This window comes from Homo sapiens, chromosome 17 (assembly GCF_000001405.40).
Source record: "Homo sapiens chromosome 17, GRCh38.p14 Primary Assembly".
NCBI classification, from domain to species: Eukaryota; Metazoa; Chordata; class Mammalia; order Primates; family Hominidae; genus Homo; species Homo sapiens.
The window spans coordinates 77949531-77964089 of NC_000017.11; the positions used below are offsets into that span (position 1 = coordinate 77949531).

The window sequence follows — 14559 nt, forward strand, 5'->3', positions numbered from 1 at the left end:
CCGATGCCCCTACCTTGCCAAGAATCCAGCCAGAACCTGAAAAGCCATGACAGGTCATGACGCCATGAGTTTGAATTGTTTGTGATGCGAATGAGCCCAGCTGACCTCATGGCATTCGGTTTCAATGTGGATTTGTTGGATAGGAGCCAGCCTCCAAAATGGCCCCAAGGAGTTCCACCTCCTGGCACTCACACCTGGTGTGGTCCCCTTCCACACTGTGCCATGGTTGGTCTGGGTGGCCAATGGCATCAGGCAGAAGTGGTGTTCTTCTGATATTCAATTAGGAAGGACTTTGGCTTCAGCCATGGTGCTCTCTCTCTTGCACTCCTCACTTTGGCGTGAGCCGTGTCATGAGTGGCCCTGTGGAATGGTCCCTGTGGCAAGGGACTGAAGCCTCCTTCCCACAGACATGTGAGTGCCCCCGGAGAAGACACTCCAGCCCGGGCACATCTTTGGAGATTACAGACCAGGTTGACAGTTTGACTGCAACCTCACGAAAGACTCACTCTGCAAGACTACTCCTGGATTCCGGATTCTCAGAAACGGTGTGAGGCACACACGTTTGTTGTCTTAAGCTGCTAAATGTTGGAATAATTTGTTTCTCAGCAACAGATAACTAAAATTCCTTTTCATTGTCTACTCACAATCAAGCGTGCATTTTGGTTTACTTGGGAGAGGGAAAAAATTAAAATTATATAATACATTAAAGATTTTTTTAAATTGAGTTCTACAAAAGTCTCAGGAAATATCTGTCATAAATGTCAAATTTCTGGTTTGGGCGCGGTGGCTTCCACCTGTAGTCCCAGCACTTTGGGAGGCCGAGGCGGGTGGATCACTTGAGGTCAGGAGTTTGAGACCAGCCTGGTCAACATGGTGAAACCCTGTTTCTACTAAAAAAAAAAAAAAAATGAGCCAAGCATAATGGCGCATGCCTGTAGTCCCAGCTACTCGTGAGGCTGAGGCAGAAGAATCGCTTGAACCTGGGAGGCGGAGGTTGCAGTGAGCCAAGATTGAGCCACTGCACTCCAGCCTGGGCAACAGAGAGAGACTCCGTCTCAAAAATTACTAATAAATAAATAAATGTCAAATTGCTGTTATTTCTTCTGTGTGTTGTCCTGAGCTCTGAATAATTGGTACACTACTAAGGTAAAAGAAAAAGAGAAAGAGGAAAGAAAGGAGGAAGGAAGAAAATATGATGGATGGAAGGAAGGAGGGAGGGAGGGAAGGTAGATAGAAATGAAAAAAAGGAGGGGAGAAAGGAGAGGGGGGAGGGAGGAAAGGAAAGGACAGGAAGAGGGAAGGAAGGAAAGAAGGAACCCTATCGATTCCTTTAAAGCCATCTTGGATCCCATATCCCTTATGGAGCGTTCCCTGACCCACCCTCACATCTAATACCTGGATGTGATTTCTCCTCCAGCACATTGATATTAACTTTCTTATGACATTAATCCATTTATCTAAATTCGTTAATTTAACAAAAATATTTATGGAGCACCCAGTGCCAGCTCTGTTCTAAGTGCCTGAAATACATTAGTGAACAAAATGCACAAGGATCTCGTACTGGTGAAGCTGACAACATTACGATAAACCAGAAACACAGTAAGAAGCAAATGATAGATTATGGAAAGTGATGTTACAGAAAAGAGAACAAGGAGAATGGGGAGGTAAAATTGTGTCTACCTTTTTCACACTCTTGCTCCAACCATCAGTGGCTCTGGAGGGAGGACAGGAGGGGTGGCCAGGTTAGCTTGGAAAGGCTGCAGGGCTTTGCCAATGCCAGATGCTTGCAAATATTTGCTCAATTAACGTAAGAGTGAAGGAGCTAGTCTTGGAATGAGGAGTTCACTCGGAGGGCAAATCCAAAAGTTACTGGCTGTTGACACAAAGCCCTGCTTCTAGTTTATCACCAGATCTATCACCCAAAGTGGGGCCAGAGAAGCCCATCGGGGTAACAGCTCACGAGCAATCCTTTCCATGAGAGTCCGCAGCCTGACCCACCTTTTCTGTCTCCCTGGTACACCAGGTTGCCAGTTTCACAGAACTGGACCGAAGCAACCGCAGCGCCCCCAAAACCATCTGCCCAGTATCACAGGGCCCAGATAAATGAGGCTGTTTTCAGTGCCTGAGACCCCCCGAACAGGTGACATCCTCATCGCAACTTCATCAGTCATCTCCGGTTCCACACCCAGATGCTCTCCACAGATTTCCACCCCTGAGTCTTCTAGGGATAGAGTCAATGGAAAGAGAGACCTTTGCAATGTCCAAATACTGACCAAGGCTGGCCTCCGAAACATCGAAAGTGTCACTTTATGATTCAGACCCAAAGACACAAAGGGAAATGAAACATGCCTTCCACAGTTTAGATATGTGGTCCTATATACTTTGGAGGCTGGAATTTGCTTTAATAATAGGCAAAGATACAAGGTGTATGTTTTTCTATTAGGTTTAATACACCACAAACAGTAATTTCACAGCAATGCTATTAATATAAAATAAAACAATAACTTGTACTCAATACCTAGAAGCAGAACTTCAGATCTAGAAGAAATCTTAGACCACTTTCAACTTCACCAAAGAAATAAAGAAGACTGGGTATATGTCCTCCATTTTCCACAGACCACTCCCCAACACATGCATGCATGCACACACACAAGCTCACACACGTACACACACACAAACACAAGCACTCGCATGTACACACACAAACACTTATGCACACACACTCACATGTAAGCACAGGCGTGTGCTCGTGAACACATACACGCACACATGCATGTAGACTTACCTGCCTCTGCAGCTGTCTCCATTGCCTCTTGTGGTCTCAGAGATAGAAGTGATCTTCTCTCTCCCTGCACCATTGACAGGGTCCCGCCTCCACCATGTGCCCAAAGACCTTTCTTATTCCATACTCAACCCCTTTGGAACACCTTCCCCACCTGGGTTCCCTCCTCTGGCTCACTATTCTCAGCACATCCACTGCTTGAGTCGCTCCCTTTACAAACAAAACAAAACACTGAACCAAAACCACTTCCTTGGTCTCATATTGACCTTTAGTCCCATTCCTTCCTTTCATAGTGTGAGCGTCCTGGGGTTGCCATAAGAAGTATCACACACTGGGTGGCTTAAGCAACAGAAACTTCTTCTCTCCTATTTCTGGAGGCCAGAAGTCCAAGACGAAGGTGTCAGCAGGGCTGGTTCTTCTAAAGGCTCGGAGGGAGAACCTGTCCCAGGCATTTTCCCTAGGTTCTCACGGCTTGCTGGCAATCTTTGGCGTTCCTTGGCTTATAGAAGCATCACCCCGATCTCTGCCTTCATCCTCACATGGGCTCCTCCCTGTGTGTGCATCTCTGTGTCCAAATGTCCCCTTTTTAGAAAGGACACAGTCGTACTGGATTAGGAGCCATGCTAATGACTTTGCTTTGACTTAACTCTGTCTGCAAAGACTATTCCCAAATAACGTCACTTTCTGAGGTGTGGGGAGTGAGGACTTCAACATATCTTTTTGGGGGACACATTTCAACCCATTACAATGGCTCAACTTAAAAGCATGGTTCCTCCTCACTGTCAGTCTCTGTCTCCAGCCTTCCTCTCACCTTGCAACCTGCTGCCGGCCCCTGCTCTGTCTTCCTGAGGACAAAATGACCTCGAGGCTGCCTGATTCCATCGGTGTGCTCCTGTTCTTACCGCATGGATACTGTTGGCCACCTGCTCCTTTCTCGAACCCATTCCCCTTGTGGCCCCTCTAGTTCCATGGGGCATCCGGTGGGATTCAGCATCTCTGGCTGTCCCTTCTCAGCCTCCTTTAGGGTTTTCTTCTCTTCTTGGTGCTCCTCAGGCTCAGCACTCAGCCTTCTCACCATCCCTCCTCATCCCTATCCCCCGAGCTCATCATCTATGATCCTGCCTCCAACTTCCAGCCCTGTGCAGACTGTCCCCAGGAGACTTATCCAGCCCAGACACCCCACGTCTGACCATCACCACTTGACGTGCCCCAGGTGCCTGCAACTCCAAATGTACCAAACCAGGCTCACCCCTTCTTCCTCAGGGTCCCACCCAAAGACTCGAGCTCAGCCTACTCCTCCTTCCACAGTCCCTTCCTCACCATCCATCCTTTCTCACTGAGAAAGACAACGAGGCAACATCTTTTACCATTTTCTTACCCTCCAGATATGTCAGACCCCAAGTCCCCCAGAGCTGAATTTAAAGTTATCTTTCAAGCAGGTCTTCTCCGTTTAACCTCTATTGCTACTCTAGGGGATTCCATAAGTTCTAGTTTCCTGGCTGCAGAACTGTGCAGGCCGCCTACCCCCTGCCATCACCTCCTCCCTGGCCCTTCCTCTTCCAGGTCATCTGCTACAATGTTTCCAGAGAGCTCTCTTTAACAGTCAAGTGTAATAATGTCTGGAATCATCCAAGAGCTCCACATTGCCTTAAGGATAAAGTACCAACTCTTTAAGGTCACATGAAATGCTCCTTGTATTCATAATCTGGCCTTGGGTGTGGTGGCTCACAATTGTACTCCTAGCACTTTGGGAAGCCAAGGCGGGCGGATTGCCTGAGCTCAGGAGTTTGAGATGAGCCTGGGCAACATGGTGAAACCCCATCTCTACTAAAATACAAAAAATTAGACGGGCGTGGTGGTGCGCACCTGTAGCCCCAGCTACTTGGGAGGCTGAGTTAGGAGAATTGCTTGAACCCGGGAGGCAGAGGTTGCAGTGAGCCAAGATTGTGCCATTGCACTCCAGCCTGAGTGACAGAGCACGACTCCATCTCCAAAAAACAAAGATAATAATAATAATCTGGCCTCTGCTCATCTCTCCCATCTCCTCTTACCTGGGCTGTTGCAGCCCCACTAATGTCTTCCAGCCCCCTGAAAGTGCTGCGCTGCAAGCTCTCTTGGGTTTCCTTTACACTGACCTTTCCCTCTTTCTTCAGTGCCCTTCCATCAGCTTCTGACCTATTACTGCTTTCCCTTGCATCTTTCAAGACTCAGATCTGAGGCCCTTGGAGAAGTCTTCCTGAGCCCTTCAGAATGACCTGAGTCTCTTCTGTCTCCTGCAGCACCTCCATGCATTGTAATCATAGCTCAAGCACGGCTTGCAGCTTTAAATCCCTGGCACCTAGTTCGCTGCCTGGCACGTAATACACGGCAATTCAGCAAGTATCTCTAACTCAGTGAGGAGTACAAAGGAGAAGTCAGAGGCCCAGAAACTTGCCTAAGGTCAAACAATTAGTGAGCAGTGGAGTTGAGACTCACCCTTACTTTTATTGTAAGGTTCTAGTCTCTATTCCAATATTATTATCAGCATAGTGGGAGGACAAAGGCATCAGAATCACTTGGGGAGCTGATTAGACATGCAGATACATGGGCCTCATCTGGACCTAAGGTGAATTTGTAATTCAAACAAGCTACCCTGGCGATTCTCATCAACAGAAAGTTTGAGAACCGACGCCCTGTGCCTTGCTGCTTGTCTGAAAGGCCTCTGTAAATTTATCACATTTTTCTAAGTCAGTTCAGTTGCTATCTATCGGTGACAAGCAGGGAGAGCTGAGCCCGGCTTTCTTACATTTTCATTGAAAAGCAATCATTTGTTGGAGTCCTGAAGGTTTTCCCTTTAAGAGTCCATCATTAGGATGCAAATTATACGTGTAAAATCAACAGAAATAGGAGGATGGAGTAATTCAGGCACCAGTGTGTGGTAGGAAGTGACTGGGCATGGAGAGGGGTATTATACGCAAATACAGCCCTCAAAAAGGTGTCTTTATTACTCTCCTCCAATTTTCATCGCCTCAGAATCATCTGGAGGGCTGGCTAAGATGGAGATACCTGGGCCCCATCCCCAGAGGTTTCGATTCACTGGGTCTGGCAATGGGGTCTGAGAAGTTGCCCTTCTAACAAGCTCCTAGGTAAAGCCAATGCCGCTGGTCTGGGGGAACACACTTTGGGAAACCCTGAGCTAGTCAACACAGTAATCTGTTTTGCAATAGTCATGGAGATAGGGACGTGATCATCCTGTCTTTCCACTTAAACCCCTGCACAGATGTGGATCTTGCTACCTTTCTAAATGGAGTTTCTTTTTCTTCCCATAGCTTGTTGGAGTACAGGTGGTATTTGGTTACATGAGTAAGTTCTTTAGCGGTGATTTGTGAGATTTTGGTGCACACATCACCTGAGCAGTATATACTGCACCCTACGAAATGGAGTTTCTATTAATAACTCCATTTGATAGAAACTCCATTTTGTAGGGTGCAGTGTATATTTGAACTAATTTGCCTAATATCTACCACCCACTGATCTCAGGTTGGCTTCTCAGGATTTCAAAGAATATATCTGTACCTATTTGCATACAGGAGTTTCAAAAATATCTGAAAAGAGCCATCCTGGCCTGCTTGTCTCTTCTTCCCTGCACCAATCTCTTCTGCTTCTTCAGCTGTTGGTCAGACTGGAGGATTTCCATCAACAACTGGCTGTATTCTGAGTCAGTCTCTAACTTTGTCGATTTCTTTCTTGCACCCTGGTGCTCAGAACTGGCCAAAACACTCCATTTGGGATCTGACCAGCTCAGAGTGCAATCTCTTAAACTGGACACTATTTTAACGTAGTGTTGTTGTCGTCTTCAAGCAGTTCACACATTTAGCCTTGTTGAACGTGTGGTCATCTATAACTAGAATTTTTTACATTACCTTGTATCCAGCTAAGTCTTCTTCATTTGTCCTCAACTAGTTGACATTTTAATTTAAGAGACACATTTAACATTTAGTCCTCTTAAACGTAATTTTGTTGGTTTTACCCTTTTTTTTTTTGAGACAGAATCTAGCTCTGTCATCCAGACTGGAGTGCATTGGCGCCTTCTCTGCTCACTGCAACCTCTGCCTCCCAGGTTCAAGGGATTCTCCTGCCTCAACCTCCCAGGTAGCTGAGACTACAGGCGCCCGCCACCATGCCTGGCTAATTTTTTGTATTTTTAGTAGAGATGTCACCATGTTAGCCAGCATGGTCTCCATCTCCTGACCTCCTGATCCGTCTGCCTTGGCCTCCCAAAGTGCTGGGATTACAGGCGTGAGCCACCATGCCCAGCCCTATAGATGATCAACTTATACCTTAGTTATAAGGTGGTGGTGGCAGGGCTGATAACAGGATGACCAACCCGAAACATGAACGTACCCATTTTTACAGTTGTGCCTGGGGTTCCTACTCATACTTTATCAGTTCAAACAACCACTAATAAGTGACACTGCTCTGCAGTCTTAACATTCATGGCCACCATATGCCTCAATGTTTCTGGGTCAACTTTAGTTTCAAACATTATCTCTACTGTCACAGGTCCACATGCCAAACTATGAGTCCAGTTTGGGGTTCAGAACATATAGTCTCTATAGTTCTGCCTTTTCTCGGTGCTCAGAGTCTAATATCATTGGAGAAGAGGACGATTTTTGCCTGATTAAACTGAGGGAGGGGGATAAGAAAGGGAACCAAAGACAATGCTAAATAATGTATTTTGGTTCAATTTTCCAAAAAGTGAAGCTCTGCTTATCACAATGATTGGTCCACTCTGGTCCACCCAGATACCTGGATTCCTCATTTATGTAGCAGCAGTCTACTTCGTGGGCGCTGCCTATTTTGAAGATGTTATTTTGCACTCCCTTCTGGAGCATGTGATAATACCTCTACCTTTGAGAAATACAAAAGATGTAGGTTCTCTGCAGTCGAGAATTAAATGAACGTAAATAAAATGAATAGACAAGGCAGAAGCCTCCATGTCAGCTCCCTCTGCCTTCAGATCCTTCTAAGGGATGTGGGTTCTCGGGAGGGGAAATACACAACACGATACAACAGACATTTGACGACCCTTTAGAGGCTGGTTGTGAATCTGACTACCGGAGGGCTTAAAATATGGCAGTAAGAAGAAAGGAGCTCATGGGACCCTGAAGGGAAACGAGAGCGGGGAATTTGTCTCTTTCATCCACAGTCGTTTCAAAGCATGACACTTGCGGTAACAAAATTGCATTGCGAAAGTACTAGTGTGTTATTATCTCCTCTTCAAGACAGGGACACGTAGACAGGGAATGGCCTCTTCCAATACCAACTTCCAAGTAGCACTGCTGATCCTCCACTGAACGATGGGGGAAAAGCTAGCCTGCTTCTGCGACCTTGCATGAAAATGGAGAAAATTCTTGGTTTCAAAATCTTCTCCTGGCTTGAACCGAAAGTTAAAAAGGGACTTTTCGAATTGCACATTGCGCCTGACCTTACCTACCACTAATGAATAATGGATATCGAGGAGCCGTGGAATGGAGGATCACGGCGGCGTACGGAGCACCGGGGAGGAATCGTGGGGTGCGTAGGCGCCGGAGCGCCCGGGTTCGGCCCGGACCGAAGGCTTGCGCGGTGAAGGTGTGGTGTCTGTGCTCCGGGGAAAGGGCTGTCTCCCCGGGGGACTGTTTCGCAGCGAGGCTTGTTTTGCTCGCAGCTGGGCGCTCCCTGGGGAGCGACTGAGCGCAAGGGCGGGCCGGGAGGCGCGAGGCGAGCACGATGCTCCAGGGCCCCAAGGACTCGTGTGCGTGTGCGTGTGCAAAGTGGGGCGGTGCAGGGCGTGTGCACGGCACGGGCGAGACGCGCGCCGGTGCGGGCGCCGGGCGCCGCCGGGCGCAATTACAGCATAAAGCCCGGGCGCCGCGGGGCGCTGGCCCGGAGAACCCACCGGACGCGCAGAACCGGATCGGCACCCCTCCCGCCAGCACCCTAACGCGGAGCCACAGCGCCCAGGGACCGGAGGGCAGGCGGCGGCGGTAAAGGACACCACGCAAGTCTCCACGTAACCCCCCCGAGCAGTGCAAGCTCCCAGGACTGGCGCGCGTCCCGGCCACTCGGAGCGCGCACCGCTCGCACCCCGGCGCGCTCCCCGCGCGGTGCAGGGAACCACAGCGCGGGCGGGTATTAAGGGGAAAGGAGGAGGCGTGGCCTGGCCGAGGAGCCAATGGGCCGGGAGGGGCGCGCGGGGGAGGAGCTCAGGTGCAGAGTGCCGATTGGCCAGTTCGCCCTCCGGTATGCAGATACGGTGGGAGTCACGTGCTAGGGGCCGGGACGACTTCCTGTTGGAGGCCAACGCGGGGCGGGGAAGGGGGCGCGAGCGCCCCGTCTGGCTGAAGCGGGGGGAGGGGGGTTCTTGTCAGTTAGAGCAACAAGATGGCCGCGGTGGCAGCTCCGCACCTCAGCGCGACGGCCCCGGGAGCCGTAGCCGCCGCCGCCGGCCCCGCCGCCGCGCAGTCTTGAGCGCCGCCCGGGCCGCCCCCTGACAGGGCAGTCCCAGCGCCCGCCGCGCTCCCGCCGCCGTCACCGTCGCAGTAGCCGCGGGCCCGCCCGAGCCGGAGGCGGAGGGAGCGGAGCGGCCCCGCGCCCAGCCGTCCGCAGCTGCCACCGCCGCCGCCGCCGCCGCCTAGGACCCGGACCCCGCCGGAGCCGCATCCCGCCGGGCGTGAGGAGGAGGACGCGTCGCGGCGTTGCCGGGGCCGGACCTGGACCTGCCGGGACGCGCCGCCGCCCACTCGCCCGCGCCGCCGCCGCAGCCGCCGCCGCCGCCCGCGCCGGGACCTGAGTCCGTGGCGCCGGCGCTGAGCGGGCCCCCGCCGCCCGCGCACTCCCGAGGCCCTCGGGCGGTTGTTCGTGCCGCCGCCGCCGCCAGGCCCGCGCCACCGGAGCCCCGCGGAGCCGCCGCCGCCGCCGGGGACGGAGCCCAGGTGAGCGCGGCAGTCCGCCCGCTCCTCGCCGCAGCCGCAACTTTGCCGGGAGGTTCGCGGGCCCTTTGTTCGGCCGAGCCGAGCCGGGGCGGGCGCTGGCCCCTAGCGACCCGCGTGCGGCGCCAGGCCCCGGGCCGGCCGGGTTTGAGGGGAGCGGCGGGAAGCGGCCGGGGCCGGGGCGCGTGTGTGCTAGTGTGAGACGGGGCTGTGCAGACGCCCGGTGTGCATCACAATCAAACGGGAGTGGAATGGAGGGCTGAAGATGGATGTGCCCCCTCCCTTTTAAAACTCATGCAGCGGTGAAATTCGGTCCTTTCCGGGCAGCCCCCCGCAGATTTTGCACTGGTGATGGCAGGCGCGAACCCGCCGTGTTTTGGTGCAGGAGCCCGGTGCCGTTGTTTGGGGGAAGAGAAAAACCCGGGGCGTGCTGCGGGTGGGCGGAGAAGGACCCCTGGGCGCTCTGCGGCTCTGAAATCAGGTGGATTTTCTAACGGTGCTGCGGACTGCGGAGTAATGCGTATGAGGAAAACGAGCCGTACAACATCTGTCCTGTTATCAGATAACGTAACCCGAGCGCCTGGTTGCCGCCTCTGCTTTAAGCGGTGCCTCCTTTGCACCTTTACCTTGAGGACGAGATTTAATTAATTGATTCGTAGCTATGAAAATGTGCAGATGTGGATGTGGGGGTTCCCTGCCTGTTAACCTGGGGAAGAAATAACTGGCAAGCATGTTACACGGAGCTTTGGGGATCTTAGCAAAAATGAAGGCTTGCTGCTTGGATGTTGTGCCGGGAGGTAGGGGAGGAGGAGCCGCTAGATCGTGGCTGCACCTATTGCATTCGAAGGCATTTGACGGTATTGGTGATTCTGCACGTAATTAGTGGAGTTGTCTCAAACCTTTGCCTCCGCCAAATGAAACCTCCATTTGAGTGGTCCGCTCGGTTATTTCTAGGCGTGAACTGCGGATTCTAAACTCAAAATGGTGCTCTGTAGATGTCCAACTTCAGCGTCTTTAAGGAGTTGCAAGTTGGAGCCTTCTGACTGGGTTAATCCATTGTGTAGCCGAGGTTCGGTTTTTCTCGAGTGTCTGGTGTTCACGTTGACGTACTTCGGCCAGTACAAGGTAGCCAATTTATGGTGATCGCTGTGAGAGCCTCGTACGTCCCTGAATGTAATTTGAGCCTGCATAAGGCCTACTTTATGCAAGTGATTTCCTGCAGTTGGAATTGAATAACTATGCGAATGAGTTGAGACCCTGGAAACCTGGCTTGAGTGATTTCAGAGGACAGTGGTAGCTGGTTTGAAATGTGTAGGGGGTGTTGGCAATGATATTCATAGATTCCGGATTTCCTTCAGTACTGTATGAAAGAATAAATGATAAAACTTAGCCCCAGGCCAGATGAACTTGGTTAGTAGAGGGCACCTTGAAGAAATTTACATTGTTCCAGAACAGCAGAGGTGGCAATGGTCTTTGAGCATGTTTCACTGTAGCACCCCTAGGATGCTTTGTTGGGGGAAATAATGCAAAACAGGGTTTTTAAAATGACTAGTTCAGTTGTCGGAATTAATTTTGTGTGTATTAATAGAACAAAGTAATGATGTGAACAGTTGTAACTTTACCTATACTGAAAGTTTTTTTTCTACAGAAAGTTTTTAATATTTATTTTCATAAGAATAGACATTCTTGGAAGCTGTTTTTCATACAGATTTCTCATGACCTGACCATAGGCATAGTCAGGCCGTGAGAAATTGATAGCTCAGAAAACGGTAATAGTAAACACACACACACACTCGTTTTTATTATAAGGATCTGATTTTAAAAGCTTGTTTGTAACTCTTCTGTGCTTCTTGTCCAAAACAAAGACCTTGCTGACCTTACCTCGGTTTTACTTTTTTTTTTTTTTTTTGAGACAGTTTCGTTCTTGTTGCCCAGGCTGGAGTGCAATGGCACGATCTCGGGTCACTGCAACCTCCGCCTCCCGGGTTCAAGCGATTCTCTTGCCTCACCCTCCCGAGTAGCAGGGATTACAGGTGCCCGCCGCCACGCCCGGCTAATTTTTGTATTTTTAGTAGAGACGGGGTTTTGCCATGTTGGCCAGGCTGGTCTCGAACTCCTGACTTCAGGTGATCCGCCTGTCTCGGCCTCCCAAAGTGCTGGGATTACAGGCGTGAGCCACCACGCTCGGCCGGTTTTACTTTTAAGGTATGAAATTAAATACGGTTGATACTGAGACTGTCTGTCATAAGGTTTAATCTTAACAATTTCATTTCGGATTCTGCCATTTAAATATTCTGGTAGTAACCTGGAGTATATGTAAGTGTTGGTTTTAGATTTTCGTCCTTCGTGTTTATTGCGGGGGGCGAGGGTGGGTTTCGAGTAGCATATGTCTTAACACTAACATCATTTCGAAACAGGTTTACATTTATATTTAGTTGGCTTAGGAACTTTGGAGTAAATAGTTGCCTTTAGAATGCTGATTGTGAAGGTAGAGTGGAATGAACTGTTTCGTTTGACATTCGGTGATTAAAAAATAACTAAGTCATACAGAGGATATATGAAACTAAATACAGTATTTTTCATCACCGCTACCGCCACCTTTTTGTTAAACAGCTGGCTTTCCTGAGATACATTTGTGCTTTTCCAAATGCTGTCATCTGGCTTACTTCCAAAACCAAGCCAGAGGAGGGTCAGGGCTGGAGTAGGACAACCTTTCTCCTTAATGAAGGGAGTTTCCAGTTTGGAAAGAAATGGAAGACACAGTTCCTGCAGTGCTGGCTGGGAATGAGGTATTTACATTACCTCTCCAACCCCAATTGAAGGGGATGAGGTCTTGATTGTAACTTAGTCTTGCTTGGCCCAGGAAAGTGATGCTAACTTGACATTTTTTAAAAAAGACTACTGATGAAAGTTAATTGTTTGATTTGAGTATATAGAATATCTTTGGCATCGTAGAAGTTCACCAACAACCTTTTAAGATTGAAAAACCATTTAAAAGACTATTTGGGGGTCTTTTTGGCCTTCCCCAATAGGAATTGGAGCATTCGATTGCATGCTTATGCTTTGGATGACTGTTTATCTTTCAGTCAGGGTTTATTGTGCAAAGGTGATACTTAAGATTTTATAAGAAAGAAAATCGTTTGGCTGTGAACTCTAGGCTGTCCCGTATACCAAAGTAAAACACATGGGACAATTAAGATTTGGGGATAGAGCAAGCAAAGATTACCAAGAGCAACTGAAGCTGGTGGAGAAGGCACAAGAAATGGAGAGGAGGAGACAGGAACAGATTTATAGACGTCCTTGGAGCTGGCAGAAGGATAGGTTGAGGGAGCAGGAGGCGGAGTCCTGAACAGACTGAGCGTGAAAGGGTCTATATAAGCTGGGAAGAACCAGGTAACTTTATGTTTGTTTTGTTTTTGTTATCTTCCGTTGAACTTGTTTTGGCTTCTTTCTCATAATTTTAAGACATGGGTTTTTACCTTTTCTCCAGCTCTATCTCAGAGGGTCTTCAAATATTTTAGGTGAGAAGTAAGGAAATATTTTGAAGTGTTGGTGACACAGTCTTTGGTCTCTCTTGCATGACAACTGGTCCCAGTGAAGGTGACTGGATTTTAGTTACTTTAGATAGTTAACATCTTAATATTTTGTTTGAAGATGTCATAGATTTGAGTAGGGACAGCAAAATATCAGGTGAGAAGTGGCTCCTATTTTGTAGGGGGTAGATTGTACAGGTTTTCTTGCTTTTACTCAGTCTATGGCTATCCAAATTTATACAAATGAGTTTTTAAATAATTGTGTGGTCACGAGGAGAGCATTCTTTATAAAATGATATACAATAAGCTTTCTTTAAATAGACTTTAATGCAGTGGAGTCCATTTATAAATTTTCAGCTTATACATAACTTTTTAGGAATATAATTACTTAAAAATGTAAAGGTTACTTGTCAGAAATAACTATATAACCTTGTGCAGAAAGTGTATATCTGAAATTGAAACTGAGAAATGTATAATCTTAGCCAGTGAACTTGTTTGAATAACCCGATTAAAATAATGGTACAGTTTCCTATTGTACAGATCGTGCATTTGAAATGTTAATTTATTTAATGAAAAGTAAATTATGTAATTTTAAAAAATCTCCACCTGGGATATATATAACAAGGTTTTACATGTTTAAAACATGCTGAAAATCCATATCGTTTGTTCCATTTTTGGAGTTTTACTAAAAATGAATTCTTTTCTTAGCTTTAGATGTTTTCAGAGAATGAAGAAGCTATTGCAGGAATGGAGAGCTGTTTGTTAAGAATGCATTCCTCCTCTGTAGCCTTCAAAAGACTATAGAGCTGTGTGCAGAGCTAGACAATCTGGGCATCCAGCCATAAAACATCACTGCTGTAGCACAGATAGTTGTTCGCACTCTCCTGAGCCCTCTGTGGCTGCAAACCACAACAGAAGTAATGGTCTTGGGAAAGGAACACTCAATGTTATTTTGAACTCTTAATATTCTCTGTGTCTCTCTGAGTTCCAGCTATGCATTGGAACTTTGGTTTTCTAAAATATAGTAGTGATTAAGGATGAGCAATAATATAGCTTCTTAAGTATATTCCTCTTGTAAGCCAGTGGATTTAAATGTTTGCTCTAGGAAATAAGGGGTGTCTAGGAAATAAGAGTTGTCTGTCCCACCATCTTCCTCTTTATTTGCCTCTTTGTTGCAATACTTCTTTTCTGTTGGAGAACCACTGCCCTAAGACCCATATGATCACTGGGCCACACACAGTGCACATGGCCCAAAGAGTCATCTGGAATCTTCCAGATATTTTGTGGGATG

General features: G+C 48.3%; 1 protein-coding gene across 4 annotated transcripts in view, besides 6 other annotated features; it reads left to right on the plus strand.

Annotated features, from left to right (window-relative positions):
• Window positions 2943–3143: a silencer, noted in NCBI's record as "peak3014 fragment used in MPRA reporter construct". NCBI's record gives its function as "represses an SCP1 promoter by STARR-seq MPRAs in K562 erythroleukemia cells {active_cell/tissue: K562}" and the evidence as "EXISTENCE:reporter gene assay evidence [ECO:0000049][PMID:32103011]".
• Window positions 8027–14559, plus strand: part of TNRC6C (trinucleotide repeat containing adaptor 6C) — a 151279-nt gene continuing 144746 nt past the window's right edge. For 3 of the 4 annotated variants that reach the window (NM_001395509.1, NM_001142640.2, NM_001395510.1), the window contains exon 1: window positions 9173–9738. The gene's annotated coding sequence lies outside the window, so the exon portion shown is untranslated. Of the gene's footprint in view, window positions 8339–9172; window positions 9739–14559 lie in introns of those variants that run through there. The other variant, NM_001395512.1, reaches the window with a different exon arrangement.
• Window positions 8788–8837: a silencer, noted in NCBI's record as "silent region_9037". NCBI's record gives its function as "represses an Ori minimal core promoter by ATAC-STARR-seq in GM12878 lymphoblastoid cells {active_cell/tissue: GM12878}" and the evidence as "EXISTENCE:reporter gene assay evidence [ECO:0000049][PMID:35858748]".
• Window positions 8858–9317: a silencer, noted in NCBI's record as "silent region_9038". NCBI's record gives its function as "represses an Ori minimal core promoter by ATAC-STARR-seq in GM12878 lymphoblastoid cells {active_cell/tissue: GM12878}" and the evidence as "EXISTENCE:reporter gene assay evidence [ECO:0000049][PMID:35858748]".
• Window positions 8858–9549: a biological region, named in NCBI's record as "H3K27ac hESC enhancer GRCh37_chr17:75954602-75955161".
• Window positions 8990–9549: an enhancer, noted in NCBI's record as "H3K27ac hESC enhancer chr17:75954602-75955161 (GRCh37/hg19 assembly coordinates)". NCBI's record gives its function as "activates a minimal SCP1, AML or CMV promoter by ChIP-STARR-seq in naive H9 embryonic stem cells {active_cell/tissue: H9 hESC(naive)}" and the evidence as "EXISTENCE:reporter gene assay evidence [ECO:0000049][PMID:30033119]".
• Window positions 9550–10108: an enhancer, noted in NCBI's record as "H3K27ac hESC enhancer chr17:75955162-75955720 (GRCh37/hg19 assembly coordinates)". NCBI's record gives its function as "activates a minimal SCP1, AML or CMV promoter by ChIP-STARR-seq in naive H9 embryonic stem cells {active_cell/tissue: H9 hESC(naive)}" and the evidence as "EXISTENCE:reporter gene assay evidence [ECO:0000049][PMID:30033119]".